The sequence below is a fragment of the Homo sapiens genome, chromosome 20 (assembly GCF_000001405.40).
Source record: "Homo sapiens chromosome 20, GRCh38.p14 Primary Assembly".
Classification (NCBI taxonomy): Eukaryota; Metazoa; Chordata; class Mammalia; order Primates; family Hominidae; genus Homo; species Homo sapiens.
Window position 1 is genome coordinate 3,040,401 of NC_000020.11, and position 16,778 is coordinate 3,057,178.

At 51.5% G+C, this 16,778-nt stretch overlaps 2 protein-coding genes across 6 annotated transcripts, besides 3 other annotated features; both read left to right on the forward strand.

Moving 5' to 3' along the window:
* Positions 1–3,221: 3,221 nt before the first annotated feature.
* On the forward strand, positions 3,222–5,347 carry GNRH2 (gonadotropin releasing hormone 2). Of its 4 annotated transcripts, none has more exons than NM_001501.2 (4): positions 3,222–3,265; positions 4,008–4,168; positions 4,279–4,436; positions 5,286–5,347. In NM_001501.2, the coding sequence occupies exons 2-4, from the start codon at positions 4,015–4,017 to the stop codon at positions 5,334–5,336; spliced, it is 363 nt and encodes a 120-aa protein (NP_001492.1). In that variant the 5' UTR covers positions 3,222–3,265; positions 4,008–4,014; the 3' UTR covers positions 5,337–5,347. The 4 variants fall into 4 exon arrangements, with proteins under 4 accessions (NP_001492.1, NP_847901.1, NP_847902.1 ...); NM_178331.2 differs by having other exon boundaries at positions 4,300–4,436; NM_178332.2 differs by having other exon boundaries at positions 4,303–4,436.
* Positions 5,134–5,193: an enhancer, noted in NCBI's record as "active region_17474". NCBI's record gives its function as "activates an Ori minimal core promoter by ATAC-STARR-seq in GM12878 lymphoblastoid cells {active_cell/tissue: GM12878}" and the evidence as "EXISTENCE:reporter gene assay evidence [ECO:0000049][PMID:35858748]".
* Positions 5,294–6,163: a silencer, noted in NCBI's record as "silent region_12612". NCBI's record gives its function as "represses an Ori minimal core promoter by ATAC-STARR-seq in GM12878 lymphoblastoid cells {active_cell/tissue: GM12878}" and the evidence as "EXISTENCE:reporter gene assay evidence [ECO:0000049][PMID:35858748]".
* Positions 5,652–7,850, forward strand: MRPS26 (mitochondrial ribosomal protein S26). Of its 2 annotated transcripts, none has more exons than XM_047440390.1 (4): positions 5,652–5,880; positions 5,973–6,119; positions 6,214–6,500; positions 7,335–7,850. In XM_047440390.1, exons 1-4 carry the CDS (start codon positions 5,669–5,671, stop codon positions 7,478–7,480), a joined length of 792 nt encoding a protein of 263 aa, XP_047296346.1. In that variant the 5' UTR covers positions 5,652–5,668; the 3' UTR covers positions 7,481–7,850. The 2 variants fall into 2 exon arrangements, with proteins under 2 accessions (XP_047296346.1, NP_110438.1); NM_030811.4 differs by having other exon boundaries at positions 6,214–6,337.
* Positions 6,534–6,593: an enhancer, noted in NCBI's record as "active region_17475". NCBI's record gives its function as "activates an Ori minimal core promoter by ATAC-STARR-seq in GM12878 lymphoblastoid cells {active_cell/tissue: GM12878}" and the evidence as "EXISTENCE:reporter gene assay evidence [ECO:0000049][PMID:35858748]".
* Positions 7,851–16,778: the final 8,928 nt, after the last annotated feature.

Below are 16,778 nucleotides of genomic sequence, written 5' to 3' on the forward strand. Positions count from 1 at the left end.
CCAGTGGATAGGCATCACCTGGGTGCAAAACCATTGTCTCCAGGTAGGAATGACCTCAGCTGTTTGCTCCGTGTCTCGCTCAGCCTGTAGATGTGTCCCTCATCCCTTCATGCCTCCCTCTTCACTCCTCTTTTACTTTCTACTCGGGGCTTGCATGTTTACAAGAGAGGTGAACCCAACAGAAACTAGTATAGGCCAAAAGGAAAATGTGCTGAAGCTCACACAGCACAGTCGTGTGGAAAAGGCAGCAGTGACTGCTTCATCCAGTGCCCTTCCCACAGCCAGTCAGTTGCGACCCAAGGGGCTTAGGGTAGGAGTGTTTCTCCATAGGGGAAGAGTAACAGCCTGCACCCACCACACACCCAAAGCCCTACATCCTGCCACACTGAGACCTCACTTCATTTGGGCGGGTCCCTCCTGGGTTGCAGTTTCCTTCATTGCTCCCCTGTCCCAAATACTCAAGTCTCTCTCATTAAAAATAAAGAGCAGGCCAGGTGCAGTGGCTCACACCTGTAATCCCACACTTTGGGAGGCCAAGGCGGGTGGATCACTTGAGCCCAGGATTCGAGACCAACCTGGGCAACATGACAAGATCCTGTCTCTACAAAAAATAACAAAAATCATCTGGGCATGGAGGCACACGCCTGTAGTCCCAGCTACTTGGGAGGCTGAGGTGGAAGGATCACCTGAGCCCATGAGGTGGAGGCTACAGTGAGCTGTGATCATGCCACTGCACTCCAGCCTGGGTCAAAGAGTGAGACCCTGTCTCAAAAAAAAAAAAAAATAGGCCGGGCACAGTGGCTAATGCCTATAATCCCAGCACTTTGGGAGGCCAAGGCGGACGGATCACCTGAGGTCAGGAGTTCGAGACCAGCCTGGCCAACATGGTGAAACCATCTCTACTAAAAATACAAAAATTAGCCGGGCGTGGTGGCACGTGCCTGTAATCCCAGCTACCGGGGAGGCTGAGGCAAGAGAATTGCTGGAACCTGGGAGGCAGAAACTGCAGTGAGCTGAGATCACGCCACTGCACTCCAGCCTGGATGACAGCGAGACTCCATCTCAAAAAAAAAAAAAGAAAAAGAAAAAGAATTAATTAATTAATTAAATAAAGAGCATGTCTCCCACCCCAGGCCTAAGTTCTTCCCTCTATGAGAGACTACTTGCAGAAACCTGTGTTCTCACTCTTCCCCCTTCCTCACTTCATTCCCACACATTTCTTTTCCATCCCTGCGCACCAAGGTCACCTTGGTGCTAAACACCAGGGACCCATGGTCTCTTCCCCTTTGTGTCACAGGCTGTCCTCTGCCTCTTATCCTCACCCTTTAGCTGCTCCTCCACTGTCTCCTCTCTCAGAGGTCAGGATTCTGGATCTGTCTCTGTGGACCCTCAGCTCTCCTCCAATCCCAAGTCCCCCGCATCCTGGTCGCATGTCAGGGTGGTCCAGAGATGCCTGCCTCCCACTGCCCACACCCAGGGGCCCGCCCTCCTTTCCTCTAACCTTCCCACATACTCTGGCCCCATGGATCCACGGCAGTTCCTGCTGGCCCTTCTCCATTTTGTTCCTTATGCTGCACCCCTCTGCTGCCACTCCCTGCGTCCGTGACTCCAGCTCACTCGTCTCTGTCCTTCACCCAGGCCGCCTGCTCAGGGTTTGTGCCTCTCTGTGCTCCTGCAGCACCTGAGTGTTTATTCACCTCTGAACCTCTGCTTTCCCACCTGAGTACACGCAGCTCCTGGCTGCAGTGACTTCATATCCTGAGGACTGGAGCTCCGTGGTGAACAGATGGCTTTCTATGTTCTAATGAGAGGGATACAAGAGTTCCACAGTTCTAGTCTGGAAAGGACCAAACATTTCTTAAAAGCTAAGTATGTTGCCGGAAAAAAAAGGGAGCAGAGCTTTCCCCAGGAAGCTTGGCTCTGGTTTAGATTTTTCAGGAAAAGCCGGAATCAAATTACAGAATAAATAAAGGCAACCATCCCCCTTTTAAAGGTACACCAGCCTTGGTGCATCTTTGAAGAAAGCATTCTGTAAACCCCAACCAGAACTAAACTAGTACGTCGAACTCAGATTCATTTTCACTAAACCACAAGCAAATGTTTCCCTAAAAATCACCCAGTTAACAAAGTCCGCATATTTAAGCCAAAACAATTTAACTGAACAAATGGGCCACACGTTGATTTCCGGTCCCTGCTAATAAGTCAGTCTGGAAGTTCACAGGTGTGCCCATCCTGCCTTGGCTGCTGAAGTCCAGGTGTCTAGGGCTGACTGATGCCCATTATGCCTCCCCTCCCCCATCTTTGTCACAGGATTTGACGCACCAGCTCTCCAAATGACCCTGGCCCTCCCATTTGCTGTTCAGCCCAAGTGCGGAGATTGGCTATGAACCCTGTAAACAGGCCTCTGACCCCCAGAGGCTGATGGCTGGCCAAGGAAAGCTGAGCTGCTGACGCAGACTGGGAAGCAAGAGCCCACTTCCAGCAGCCCAGGCTAGCTGTGTCCAAATCCATGACTGGGGAGGGGTTAGAGCCTTGAGGGACAAAATTATTCTACCTACCTAGGGAGACTGCACTGGCCCAACAGCTGGGCCCCATCTCATGGGCCCGCTTCTTCGCCAGGAGAGAAGCCACTCCGGGGTAGGTACTGCCCCACCCAAACCCAGCCATCTGGAGTGACCCAGCCCTGGTTCCCAGGTGTGTGGATGTGAATTGTCCCACCCAACCCACTCTACAGTGAGCAAACGGAAGCCCTCTGGGAGAGTGGTCACAGCCTCCCCTGTACCTCTGAACAGCCTGCCAGGCTCCCTACTCTTAGGCTTCCACTGTCCACCAGGGAAAGCCCTGAGCTGGGAGTTGGGGAGCCCCCAGGCATTGCCCCTGCCCAGGACACAATTCTCTTTTGGGATCAGGGAAGGCTGTGAGGGCTTTCTAGGTCTCAAGATCAGGAGCTTGAAGATGCAGCCTGGGAAGTGGGAAGGTGAGACCAGGACATAGGCCAGCCTAAAGCAAGAGTCCTGGGCCTGAAGGCTCCTGGGAAGGTGGTGGGGAGGGAGCATGTGTCGGTGGCCTCAGGGCAGCAGCTGCCTGGTGAATGTTCATGGACTGGATGCTCTGGGAAGCGGGTTGGGTGGTGAGCTTCTCTCTTCCCCTCTGAAGACGTCACTGGAGTCTGGGGGTGGAGCTGCCTGGTCTATAAATCCTGGGGCCATCAGGCTAGGGTCCTGCAGCTGCCTGAAGGAGCCATCTCATCCACAGCTCTTCCTTGGTGAGTGGGGAGCCTTCCCTAAGGGCTAGGACACCTGGACCAAGTTTCATCCTGGGCGTATGGTGTGCTGCTCCTCTTCCCCATTCCCAGGTGCCTCCACCCCTGAACCATGCCAGAGAAGTCCCCTTTTCCTCTCCTCTCCCCAACAGCTCTACCATCTATTCTTGTGCTTGTTGCCCCTGGCATGGGAGGGATAAGGGGTAGAAGCACTTGCCCCCATCAATACCACTCATCCATTCCACATCCCCAACTACTATGGAAGAGATACAGCAGGCCACGGAGAAAAGGGCAGAAGGCCTGCAACTCTGGTTCCCTAGCACTGGTGCTCCAAACACGCCTACATTGAGAACTCCCCTGACCATCCATCTATCCTCCCATCCATTGGCCTGAATTCAGGTCTCTGTTCCCCTCCAACTTTCTTCCACTTCTGGAAACTCCTTGAAGGAAAGATGGATGGACCTGGACAAGTGGGAGGGCCCTCAGAGCTGGCAAGGCAGGTAGCCTCTGTGCCCCAGGCTCAGGGAGAAGGCTCGTCCCCTGGAGCATCATCCCCTGCTGGGCCAGGATCCCCCAGGATCTGGACCCCTGTATGCTTGGGATGAGGAGCGGTGGCAGAGAGGGAAGGGCATAAGGAGATACCAAAGCTGCCCCTGAGATGCCAGTTTTCCAAAGTGGCCCTGGAGGAAGTAGGGGGATGTGGGGGTGAGGTAAGTCTCCTTGAATGCTGTACCCTGTCCATTAGAGCAGCCATGGCCAGCTCCAGGCGAGGCCTCCTGCTCCTGCTGCTGCTGACTGCCCACCTTGGACCCTCAGAGGCTCAGCACTGGTCCCATGGCTGGTACCCTGGAGGAAAGCGAGCCCTCAGCTCAGCCCAGGATCCCCAGAATGCCCTTAGGCCCCCAGGTGGGTGTCTCCCAGCCTCATGGGGAGGAAGAAAGTGATGGCCGGGGGCTCCCCCACCCTCCTGGAGCCTGAGGTCGGGGTAGGGAGGACAGCATCAGTTCCCTTCTAAGGAAGGGCCCTGGACACTGCAGCAGGCAGCCCAGTCCAGACTGCCCATGGCCTCCCAAGTGATGCCCTGGCTCCCCTGGACGACAGCATGCCCTGGGAGGGCAGGACCACGGCCCAGTGGTCCCTTCACAGGAAGCGACACCTGGCACGGACACTGCTGGTGAGTAGGGTGAGAGGTCCCCAGCATCAAGACCAGCCACTGGTCATCAGAGGCCATTGTGGCTTAGGGTTGGGTGCTGGGAGGGTGGGGAGAATGAAACACCACTGAGATGCCCCCTGCCACAGCACCCCCAGCCATTTCTCAGTGCCCCTACTGCACACAGCAGGGTGCTGTCTGCTATCCTTCCTATTTCCCAGGAGGATTCTAGACAATTTACAAAGCACTTGGGTTAAAGACCAAAGTCACTAGTAGACTAGAAGGAGATAATTGTTCTATAAGACAGTGGTGGCCATGGGATCCCACAGGCATCCTGACAAGCCAATGACTGTCTTGAGGTGGACAGACCCCAGGCCAGTGGAAAGAGGTGAGGGATGCAACCTCACTCAAACAGACAACAGGGCCAAGAGGACCAGGTGGTGACTGACATGTGCACTAGGAACATCTCAGGGACTGCAGAGCTCCCCAAGACCATAGCAGAAGACAGGCGTGGGGAAATGGTTTGCTACTGTTTTGCAAATCAAACATTTACAGTGCATCAGGAGAGCCCGGTAACTAAAGAAGAAAGTGGTTAGTTCCTATGAGGCAATGTCTTACCGCCTGATTTGTGTGTATGTGCTGAGGTTTCTATGCGTCAGGCTTGTTTAGGGTGGACAAGAGGGCATGCCCAAGGGAGCTGGAGATCCCCACACTAGCTGGATCCTCAGGCTTCTACGGGAGGCGGGGGGCGTCCTGCTGTGGGAGGCCACATGGGGACTGGGGGGGACGAGAGGGGAGAGAACCAGGAAGATGGCAGCTCGGCGGTTACGAGACCAGTGTCCTGAGACATGACCGCCACCTCTCCCTCCGCAGACCGCAGCCCGAGAGCCCCGCCCCGCCCCGCCATCCTCCAATAAAGTGTGAGGTTCTCCGAAGCTGTTGCGTCGAGTTCTGTCCTTCGTCCCCTCCCTGTCTTCCCCGCTGAGACCCTTCCCTGCGTGGGGGCTGGAGGGACGCGGGTCCGGCCCCGCGGGCGGGAGTAACTAAGGGATGGCCCCGGGCCCTGGCGGGAAGGCCGGGCCAGAGCCTGGGGGCGGGATGCGGACGTCCGCAGGGTCGCCGCTTCGGTTCCAGAGGCCACACGGCCGGGCGGGGCGTGAGGGACAGCCCGAGGACTACAGGTCCCAAGGTTCCCCGCGCCGCTTCCGGGGCACGGTGGCGTCCCGGCACCGCGGCCGCAGTGAGGAGACTCGGCCATGCTACGCGCGCTGAGCCGCCTGGGCGCGGGGACCCCGTGCAGGCCCCGGGCCCCTCTGGTGCTGCCAGCGCGCGGCCGCAAGACCCGCCACGACCCGCTGGCCAAATCCAAGATCGAGCGAGTGAACATGCCGCCCGCGGTGGACCCTGCGGAGTTCTTCGTGCTGATGGAGCGTTACCAGCACTACCGCCAGACCGTGCGCGCCCTCAGGTGTGCGGCCGGGGGGAGGTGGCCGCCCGCGCGCGCTGGTGACGGTGGGAGTGGGCGGAGAGGGTGCTGATTCCTGGCGCGTCTGCACCCAGGATGGAGTTCGTGTCCGAGGTGCAGAGGAAGGTGCACGAGGCCCGAGCCGGGGTTCTGGCGGAGCGCAAGGCCCTGAAGGACGCCGCCGAGCACCGCGAGCTGATGGCCTGGAACCAGGCGGAGAACCGGCGGCTGCACGAGCTGCGGTGCGTGGGGCGGGAGGCGGGGCGGGGCGGCGCGGCCTGGCCGGCCTGGGAGAAGCCCGGGCCCCGCTCAGCCTCGGCCCTTTGACCCTCACAGGATAGCGAGGCTGCGGCAGGAGGAGCGGGAGCAGGAGCAGCGGCAGGCGTTGGAGCAGGCCCGCAAGGCCGAAGAGGTGCAGGCCTGGGCGCAGCGCAAGGAGCGGGAAGTGCTGCAGCTGCAGGTGGGCAACGTCTCCGGAGGGTGGGACTCCAGCCGGGGACGCGGCTTGCGGGGCACTGGGAATTCTGGGCACCGCGACGCGGGCGCTGGCTATGTGCAGAGACTTACAGTTGGCAGGTCCGGATTTGGAGAGGAGAGTGCCAGTCAGGCGCAAAGACCCGGAGGTGAGCGGAGTAATTGGACAGTGTTCAGGTACCTAGCAGGTCTGTGGGAGGGACCCTGCGTTCCACAAAGAGGTTGTATTTTGCATAACAGGTGATGAAGCCATGAAGGGTTAAGTATTTCAGGCTAGGATTAGCAGGTGTGCGACTTAAAAGCAGGGAGACCACTTAGGAGTAATGCAGTGAGAATGGATGAGGCTTGATTTAAAGTATAGAAGGGTGGCTGGGAGCGGTGGTTCACGCCTGTAATCCCAGTACTATGGGAGGCCGAAGCGGGCGTATCACTTGAGGTCGGGAGTTCGAGTCCAGCCTGGCCAAGCCCCGTCTCTCCTAAAAATACAAAAATTAGCCGGGCGTGGTGTGCGCCAGTAATCGCAGCTACTCGGGAGGCTGAGGCATGAGAATCGCTTGAACCCAGGAGGCAGAGGTTGCAGTGAGCCGAGATGGCGCCACTGCACTCCATCCTGGGCGACAGTGAGACTCCGTCTCAAAATAAATAAATAAATAAATAAATAAAGTAATGGGGGGAAGGATGAGTTAGAGTGATTCAGAGGGGACCACTGAGGGACGGATTTCACCTACCAGGACGTGAGATTTTCATAGCTGGCACTCGGGGCTATGGCTGAAGTGTCTGAGAAAAGAGGAACGTGGAAAAGCAACCTGATATCACTCCACTGGGAGGCCAGAGGGGCTCTCAAATAGGACCTGGGTTCCAGGCATGCTTCCCCAGGGAGAGCAGGAGCTGCTTTCTCAGTGGGGTGAGAGGCCAGCAGGCTGGGTGGGCTGGCTGGCATGTGCCCAAGGCTCCTGTTCAGCTGGGCTTTTCTCTCCCGATAGGAAGAGGTGAAAAACTTCATCACCCGAGAGAACCTGGAGGCACGGGTGGAAGCAGCATTGGACTCCCGGAAGAACTACAACTGGGCCATCACCAGAGAGGGGCTGGTGGTCAGGCCACAACGCAGGGACTCCTAGGGGCCCAGTAAGGACAGTGCCCGCCAGGGACCATGTATGTATCATGGCGGAAGAGTTGGCCCTGACCTGGAATAAAGCAGTTGGTGTTGCTTATGAGGAAGGTTCAGCCTTATCCAGCACAGCCTTCACGTTTTGCCCTCTGCTGTCACCACTTGGTCAGAAACTTCCAAACGCAGTGCCCTGTTCTGCCGGTGTGTACAGCCTCAGCGCACCAGGAGACCCTAGAGTGGTTTCCATCTCACAGAGAATCAGACAGGGCCACAGCCCCCTCAGGCAGCCAGGTCATCTGAGTATCATTAAGAGTAGTGATGGGAAGATTACAGTCTGAGGGCCAAACGTGCCTGCTTCCTGTTTTTGTAAATAAAGTTTTGTTGGAACACAGCCACACCCACTCATTGACTTCTTTTTACTACAGTGGCAAAGGTGAGTAGTTGCAACAGAGACCATATGAATCCCAAAGACTAAAATCTTTAACTTTTTACAGGAAAAGTGTAGTGATCTCTCATCTGGAGCTTTAGGACTCTAGCCTGTGTCACCCAGGACCTGAGCCACAAGCTAACCATTGGCCAGGCGCCTGCCTCTGCTCTATACTGTGCTTTGCTGGCCAGAGTCTGGTGTATCCAAGACCCAGAAGGCAAAGAGGAGACCCCATTTTTTTCTGGGTTCCACAAAGAGGTTGTATTTTGCCTTACAGGTAATGAAGCCATGAAGAATTAAATATTCTAGGCTAGGATTAGCAGGTGTGTGACTTAAAAGCAGGGAGGCCATTAGGAGTGGGTCTCTCCACCCATGGCCTCAGTGACCTACATTTGCCCTGGCATTGCCATTGCCCTTGGGCCACCCAGCAGATGGCTGCTGGCAGGGGAGACATGGTTGACCAAGATTTTATGAGGTTAGTGTGGCTTAGCAAGCACTTGGACCAACCTCTATGGGTACTGGGACTACCTGTGATGATGAAGAGAGTATATAGATCCATAGTCCCTGTTCAGATGCAGGCCCTCAAGCAGTGTCTGGGATGAGCTGGAGGAATGTTTCTCAACCAGAGCAGCTTCCGTTTGCTGCCATGCACATGAACTCCAGCTTCTCTCCATGTCTCCCACTTCTTTGCAGGGAAGGCCTAGGGACCCCCAAGAAATGAAAACCTTTTTTTTTCTTTCTTTTTTTTTTGAGACAGAGTCTCACTATGTTGCCCAGGCTGGAGTGCAGTGGCACGATCTTGCTCACTGCAAGCTCTGCCTCCCGGGTTCACGCCATTCTCCTGCCTCAGCCTCCCAAGTAGCTGGGACTACAGGCGTCTGCCAACACGCCTGGCTAATTTTTTATATTTTTAGTAGAGACGTAGTTTCACTGTGTTAGTCAGGATGGTCTCGATCTCCTGACCTCGTGATCCGCCCGCCTCGGCCTCCCAAAGTGCTAGGATTACAGGCGTGAGCCACCGCGCCCGGCCGAAATGAAAACCTTTTAGGGTGTATGGGCCACTCTTATTGCAGGTGAGAAAGCAGGTAATAAGGTACAAGCAGAGGTGGTGCCTGGCACCCAGCCCTCCTCAGAGCACTGCACTCCTGAGAACCTTGGCCTCCCTCCTTAGGCTGGTACTAGCTCTTCTCCCCCAGCATCAACTCTGGCCAGAGCACAGTGGCATCCCTGCTTTTAGGTGCGAGGCATCTGGAGTGAGACCTGATGGGCACACGTGGGCAGTGGTTTGATGATGTCTTCCATGGCCTCGGGCTTCGTCATGGTGAAGAGTGGGCCATCTGGACCCCTGCATTGGAAGCCTTTGGTGATGTGGCACATAGGCCTGTGTTAGGAAGTCCAGTTTTATGTAACGTACTCCTCCCTGGACCTCCTTGTCTCCATCTTCCAGTTTTATTCTTTCCAAGGCCTCTGTACCGGGATCCAGACGTAAGCCATCTGTCTGTTCAGACAGAGGACACACTGACCTTGAAGCTCTGTCTTTGGGCTGATTCCACTGCTGTCCAGCATGGGGCTGGAACTCAGCATTCACTGCTGATGCTGTTATGTCATGCAGAACCACCTGGGAACCAAGTGTCACGTTTTTATTCTCTACCCACAGCCACCTTGCTGGTGTAGGCACCACTAGGCAGCTTACTGGTACCTTCAGGGTTAACTCAAACCCAGTGCCATCTGTACCTGCTTCTAATGGAACATTGAGTGCAGCCAGGTGCACAGGTAGCCTCTCAGATCCCAACCAGTCCAGGTTGCAGAGTCATGTGATGCCCCAGGGTAGTGATGCCTGATCTCCGCAGAACCCTGGATAGTTAACCTGATGGGCATGGCCTTGCTCAAAACACCAGGGTCTCTTCAGATCCTTACCTCAAGTTCCTAGTAGGGCTTGGATCTGTTACAGACAATGAGCTCTGCAAGGTTTTAAGGGGGAGAGTTGCCAGAATCATGCTGCAGCCTGGACCACCAAGAGAATATCTTGCTCAAGGCTCCACTTGTGGGTGGTAGATTTGGGGTCTAGCTGGTAAATGCATTTGGAGCAGAACACCCAAATGTAAGTGCTTTCACTAAGATGGGAGGAGGTCCACCAGGCTTTGTGGGATAGACAGGATGGACCAGCAATTTGTGAGTGGCAAGTTTTTCCCGAAGGACCCAATCAAGTATAGATGTTTTACCACGAAACGGGATTCTTGCCCCTTCCAGTTGTCTAGAATAAGCATGATGTCAATGACTGGCCCCCGCATGTTGTCCTGGAGATGGGTGGTGTAGGTCTTGAGGATCTGGTTATGCAAAACTGTAGAGTTGTTAATCTCTCGGGCTGAATTGTGAAGGTGTGCTGCTTCTAGGTGAAGGCAAGCTGCTTATAGTGGTCCAGGTGGGTAGGACAAGAGAAGAATGCATTTGCCCAATTAATCTGTTCCATCAAGGAGACCACCCTAGACGTCATTACACCTAAAGTCATTCCTCATATTTTTCCAACATACTCCAAATTTTCCGCATGGAACAATCACAGTTATCCAGTATTCCCTGAAATCTTTGGGAAATGTTACCTCCTGCACTTACCCTGTGGTTATTTCCCCAACTCTGACAAGTACGGAGTTGAAATGGACAACTAGGAAGGAAGGCCAGCTGACTGCTGAAATAAGAGCAACTTTGGCAGAAAGGGTTAAGTTTGGAATTATTTTTCTTTCCCAAATAGGAAGTCAAGAGTAATATTGCAATCCCAAAAACCTGAGACAGGCAGGCCTAGCCATGATGCTGTCATTTCCCCTGTCAGGTGCTTTAGTGAATATTTCCTTAGTGCAGGTAGGCGCATAAACAATATATGTGATGTTTTTATAAAGGGAACACTACCAGAGTCAGCCTCATGGTTCAGTTTACAGGACCTCAAAGTCAAGAACTTGAAGAATCCCACCATAGTGCCACAAAAGGGCCCAGGAAAGTGACATTAAAAGGTCAGAGCTGTGGCCGGGCGCGGTGGCTTACGCCTGTAATCTCAGCACTTTGGGAGGCGGAGGCAGGTGAATCACCTCAGGAGTTCGAGAACAGCCTGGCCAACATGGTGAAAACGCGTCTCTACTAAAAATATAAAAAATTAGCTGGGCATGGTGGCGCCTGGAATCCCAGCTGGAAGGCTGAGGCAAGAGAATCACTTGAACCTGGGAGGCAGAGATTGCAGTGAGCCCAGATCCACTGCACTCCAGGCCAGGTGACAGTACAAAAAAAAAAAAAAGTCAGAGCTGCATAAGCCCCAGTCTTATGCGGTACTCCACAGTGGCTCTGTGGTCACAACAATCCTCCCCAAATGCATTTCCCCTCACTGAGAGTGAAAACACAGGTGTGAGGTTGAAGTTCTCTGGGAATTTGTGTTACAGGTCACTTTTTTGTTTTTTTTTTTTAATGCTGGCTACTGAGGGAGAGAAATGGTCTGGGAGTGAGGTTGTGTGGCTGGGAAATCTGAAACAGATACAAACGTCAACCATGCCTACTACACAGCCTTCTGGCACTACCAGTCAGTGCCCCCAGGTGCTATTGCTGGCACCCCTGCTGCTGCTGTTGGAACTGCAGGAATGTAGGTGCCCACTACAGCTGCCAGAAATGCCCCAGAAGCGAGAAAAGTGAATTTGCCCTTCCTCTGGCCTTAAAAATCTTTCCCTGGGCCAGGCACGGTGGCTCATGCCTTTAATCCCAGAACTTAGGGAGGCTGAGGTGGGTGGAGCAACTGAGGTCAAGAGTTCAAGATCAGCCTGGCCAACATGGTGAAACCCCGTCTCTACAAAAATACAAAAATTAACCTGGCGTGGTGACACGTGCCTGTAATCCCAGCTACTTGGGAGGCTGAGGCAGGAGAATCGCTTGAACCCAAGAGGCGGAGGTTGCAGTGAGCCGAGATCATGCCATTGCATGCCAGCCTGGGCGACAGAGCAAAACTCTGTCTCAAAAAAAATCTTTCCCCAGGCCAGGCGCAGTGGCTCACACCTATAATCCTAGCAATTTGGGAGGCTGAAGCAGGTGGATCACTTGAGGTCAGGAGTTCGAGACCAACCTGGCCAACGTAGTGAAACTGTGTCTCTACTAAAAATACAAAAATTAGCTGAGCGTGGTGGTGCACACCTGTAATCCCAGCTACTGGGGAGGCTGAGGCAGGAGAATCGCTTGAACCCAGGAGGCGGAGGTGCACTGCAGCCTGGACAATGGAGAGAGACTCCATCACCCCCACCCCCCCACCAAAAAAAAAGAAAACAGCAGTTTATAAACAGATATTCTACATCCCTCTTCGCATTGTTTATCAGGACTGTCATTTTCTTGTATGAGACATTTGGGTTTTTTCCCTCTGAATATGTTACTACTGTGACATTTAGCCCTTAGAAAAAAATGTTAGGCCAGGTACAGTGGCTCACACCTGTAATCCCAACAATTTGGGAGGCTGAGGTGGGAGGATCGCTTGAGCCCAGAAGTTTGAGACTAGTCTGGGAAACATAGGGAAACCCATCTCTATTAAAAAAAAAAAAAATTAAAAATTAGCTGGGCATGGTGGTGTACACCTGTGGTCCTAGCTACTTGGGAGGCTGAGGTGGGAGGATGGCTTGTGCCTGGTAGGTTGAGACTGCAGTGAACCATGATCACACCACTGGACTCCAGCCTAGGCAACAGAGCGAGACCCTATCTTCAAAAAAAAGAGGAAAAGAAAAGAAGTTAACAAATGTTCAGTATTTCAGTTACTTCCTGACCTGGTGATATTTAAGGGTGTGTTTGTTTTTGGATGATCTTTGCAAATATATTAACTACTGTTAAGGGGAAAAGCTGCTTCGGCGACTTGAGCTGATTGAGTCACACTTCTGGGCTCTCTGGGCCCTTTTGTGAGTTTATAATAGAAATAAAATATGACTTTATAAAAAAAATCCCCAAGAGAGATGGGAGAGTATTTAAATTGTTGCCCCATTTACTGCTTCTACCCAGAAATCCATATAAATAAATCAAAAAAATAGATTTATGGTAACAAGCCTGATGCAACCTGCTTGGGTTTAAATTTGAATCCCAGCTTCTCCCTCTTACTATCTGCATATCTTTGAGAACATTTCTTAGTCCCTCTGTGCCTCAGTTTCCTCAAAAGTAAAATAGAGATTAAACAATACTAGTATGTACCTATAAGGGTATTGTGGCAATTAAATGAGAAACTGATGTAAAGCTAAGCTCACTGACTGCAACACAGTTTGTGCTTAATAGATGTTACATGTTATTCTTTTATTTATTTATTTATTTATTTATTTTGAGATGGAGTTTTGCTCTTGTTGCCCAGGCTGGAGTGCAATGGCTCAATCTCGGCTCACTGCAACCTCTGCCTCCCGGGTTCAAGCAATTCTCCTGCCTCAGCCTCCCAAGTAGCTGGGATTACAGGCATGCACCAGCTAATATTTTTGTATTTTTAGTAGAGACAGGGTTTCACCATATTGGTCAAGCTGATCTCGAACTCCCAACCTCAGGTGATCTGCCCACCTTGGCTTCCCAAAGTGCTGGGATTACAGGCGTGAGCCACCGCGCCCAGCCACGTTATTATTATTATTATTACTATTATTTTAGGGAAACCAGAGAATAGTCTTAAACTCACATCATAGACTGAGAAGAATTAACTGCCAAATAACACTCACGCAGGGAATGAATTGCTGGAGGAGACCAAGACCTGCCCTGCAGCTCCCCTTATCTCCAGCAGAGGGCAGACGCATCAAGATAGTGACAGGGCCCTCAAAAATGGAAAGGATAAGATTGGTGAATTTGACTTTTTTTTTTTTTTTGAGACAGAGTCTCGCTATTGTTGCCCAGGCTGGAGTGCAATGGCTTGATCTCGGCTCACCCCAACCTCCGCCTCCCAGGTTCAAGCAATTCTCCTGCCTCAGCCTCCCCAGTAGCTGGGATTACAGGCACACGCCACCACGCCTGGCTAATTTTGTATTTTTAGTAGAGATGGGGTTCCTCCATTTTGGTCAGGCTGGTCTCAAACTCCCGACCTCAGGTGATCCACCCGCCTCGGCCTCCCAAAGTGCTGGAATTACAGGCATGAGCCACCGCGCCCAGACCGATTACATTATTTAAGAAATAAACTTAACAAGCCGGGTGCAATGGCTCATGCCTGTAATCCCAGCACTTTGGGAGGCTGAGGCGGGCAGATCACCTGAGGTCAGGAGTTCGAGACCAGCCTGGCCAACATGGCGAAACCAAGTCTCTACTTAAAATACAAAAAAATTAGCCGGGTGTGGTGGCACTCACCTGTAATCCCAGACACTTGGGAGGCTGAAGCAGGAGAATTGCTTGAACCTGAGAGGTGGAGGTTGTGGTGAGCCGAGATCACGCCATTGCACTCCAGCCTGGGCAACAGAGTGAGACTCCGTATCAAAAAAAAAAAAAAAAAAAAAAAAAAAAGTAAGTTGCAGACATCAAGACACTTCATCTCTCAATACTTAAGCATATATTTCTTCAGAACAAAGTCATTTTCAGCATAAGCATAGGGCTATTATCTACCCAAGAAATCAAACGAAAACTCTCCGTTGCTCCCCGCTCCCCAGCCCTTGGCAGCTACCACTCTTCTTTTTTTTTTTTTTTTTTTTTTTAGAAATAGGGATTGGGTCTTGCTCTGTTGCCCAGGCTGGTCTCAAACTCCTAGGCTCAAATGATCCTCCCACTGTGGCCTCCCAAAGTGTTGAGATTACAGGCGTGAGCCACCACACGCAGCCTCCTTCCTTTTGAAGGCTGAGTAATATTTCACAGTATGTACATGCCACATTTATCCATTCATCCATTCATGAACGTTGGGTTTCTTCCGCCTGTTGCTTACTGTGAATACTGCTGCTACAAACATGGGTGTGCAAATACCTCCTCGAGCCCCTGCTTTCAATTCTTTTGGATACGTACACAGAAATGGAATTTCTGGATCATATAATTTTATTTTAAATTTTTAAGGAACAACCATACTGTTTTTCCATGGCAGCGGCAACATTTTAAATTATTACCAACAGTGCACAGGGGGGTTCCAATATCTTCACATCCTTGTCAACACTTGTTATTTTCTGGGTTTTTGTTTTTCGGGTTTTTTTTTTTTTTTTGACAGATTCTTGCTCTGTCACCCAGGCTGGAGTGCAGTGGCACGATCTCAGCTCACTGCAACCTCTGTCTCCCGGGTTCAAGTGATTCTCCTGCCTCAACCTCCGGAGTAGCTGGAATTAGGGGCACCCACCACAACACCCGACTAGTTTTTGTATTTTTTTTTTAGTAGAGACGGGGTTTTGCCATGTTAGCCGGGCTGATCTGGTCTCAAACTCAAGACCTCAAGTGATCCACCCGCTTCAGCCTCCCAAAGTGCTGGGATTACAAGTGTGTTTTTAGAATCAGTTTGTTTATATCTATAAAAATTTCTGCTGGAATTTTGATAAGGAATGTGAAATTGTTTTATCAATTAGATGTTGTTTTACGACCCACAATATAGTATCTTAGTGAATGTGTTCCATGTGCTTTTTTCTCTTCCATGTGCTTTTTTGAAAAGAATGTGTGTTTTTTTGTTTGTTTCTGTTTTTTGTTTTTTTGAGACAGAGTTTCGCTCTTGTTGCCCAGGCTGGAGTGCAGTGGCATGATCTCAGCTCACTGCAGCCTCTGCCTCCTGGGTTCCAGCGATTCTCCTGCCTCAGCCTCCCGAGCAGCTGGGATTACAGGCACCCGCCACCACGCCTGGGTAATTTTTGTATTTTTAGTAGAGATGGGGTTTCTCCATGTTGGTCATGCTGGCCTCAAACTCCCTACCTCAGGTGATCTGCCCACCTCGGCCTCCTAAAGTGTTGGGATTAGAGGCATGAGCCACCGCGCCCGGCCAATTTACATATTTTTTTATTATGTATCTCTTAACAAACTGCTATGGCTATTATTGTTTTGATAGATTTGTCTTTTGGGCTTCATACTAGAGTTATGAGTGGATTGCATTCCACATACAATATTAGGCTATTAAATAGGTTTGTGTACTTAATTTTACCAATAGGTTTTATACTTTCAAGTGTTTTTTGGGAAGAGGAGAGGGTCAAATCTGTTCTTTGGCCTTCCTGTAACTGGATATTTATATCTTTCTCAAGTTTGGGAAAGTTTTCTGTTATTATTCTTTTTTTGGAGACATGGAGACAAGGTCTCACTCTGTTGCCCATGCTGTAGTGCAGTAGCACGTTAACAGCTCACTGTAGCTGTAAACTCTTGAACTCAAGTGATCCTCCCTGCCTCAGCCCCCAAGTAGCTGGGATTACAGGTGTGCACCACCTGTAATGCCTCCCTAATTTTTTATCTTCTTTTTTGTAGAGACAAGGTCTCACTATGTTGCCCAGGCTGGTCATGAACTCCTGGCCTTGAGCAATCCTCCTGCCTCGGCCTCCCAAAACATTGGAACTACTGGCACGAGCTACCATACCAGCTTGTTATTACTTCTTTCAATAAGCTTTCTTCTACCCCTTGCTCTTGCTCAACTCCCTCTTGAACACCAATAATTCTTAGATTTGGTCTACTGAGGTAGTTTTCTACATCTTGTAGGTGATCCTCATTCTTTTTCATTCCTTTTTCTCCTCTCATTATGTATTTTCAAATAGACTATCTTCATGGCCCGTTGTGGTGGATCACGCCTATAATCCCAGCACTTTGAGAGGCCAAGGCAGGCGGAATGCTAGAGCTCAGGAGTTTGAGACCAGCCTGGCCAACATGGCAAAACCCCATCTCTACTAAAAATACAAAAAAATTGGCCAGGCATGGTCAGTGGCTCACACATATAATCTTAGCACTTTGGGAGGCTGAGGCAGGCAGATCACCTGAGGTCAGGAGTTC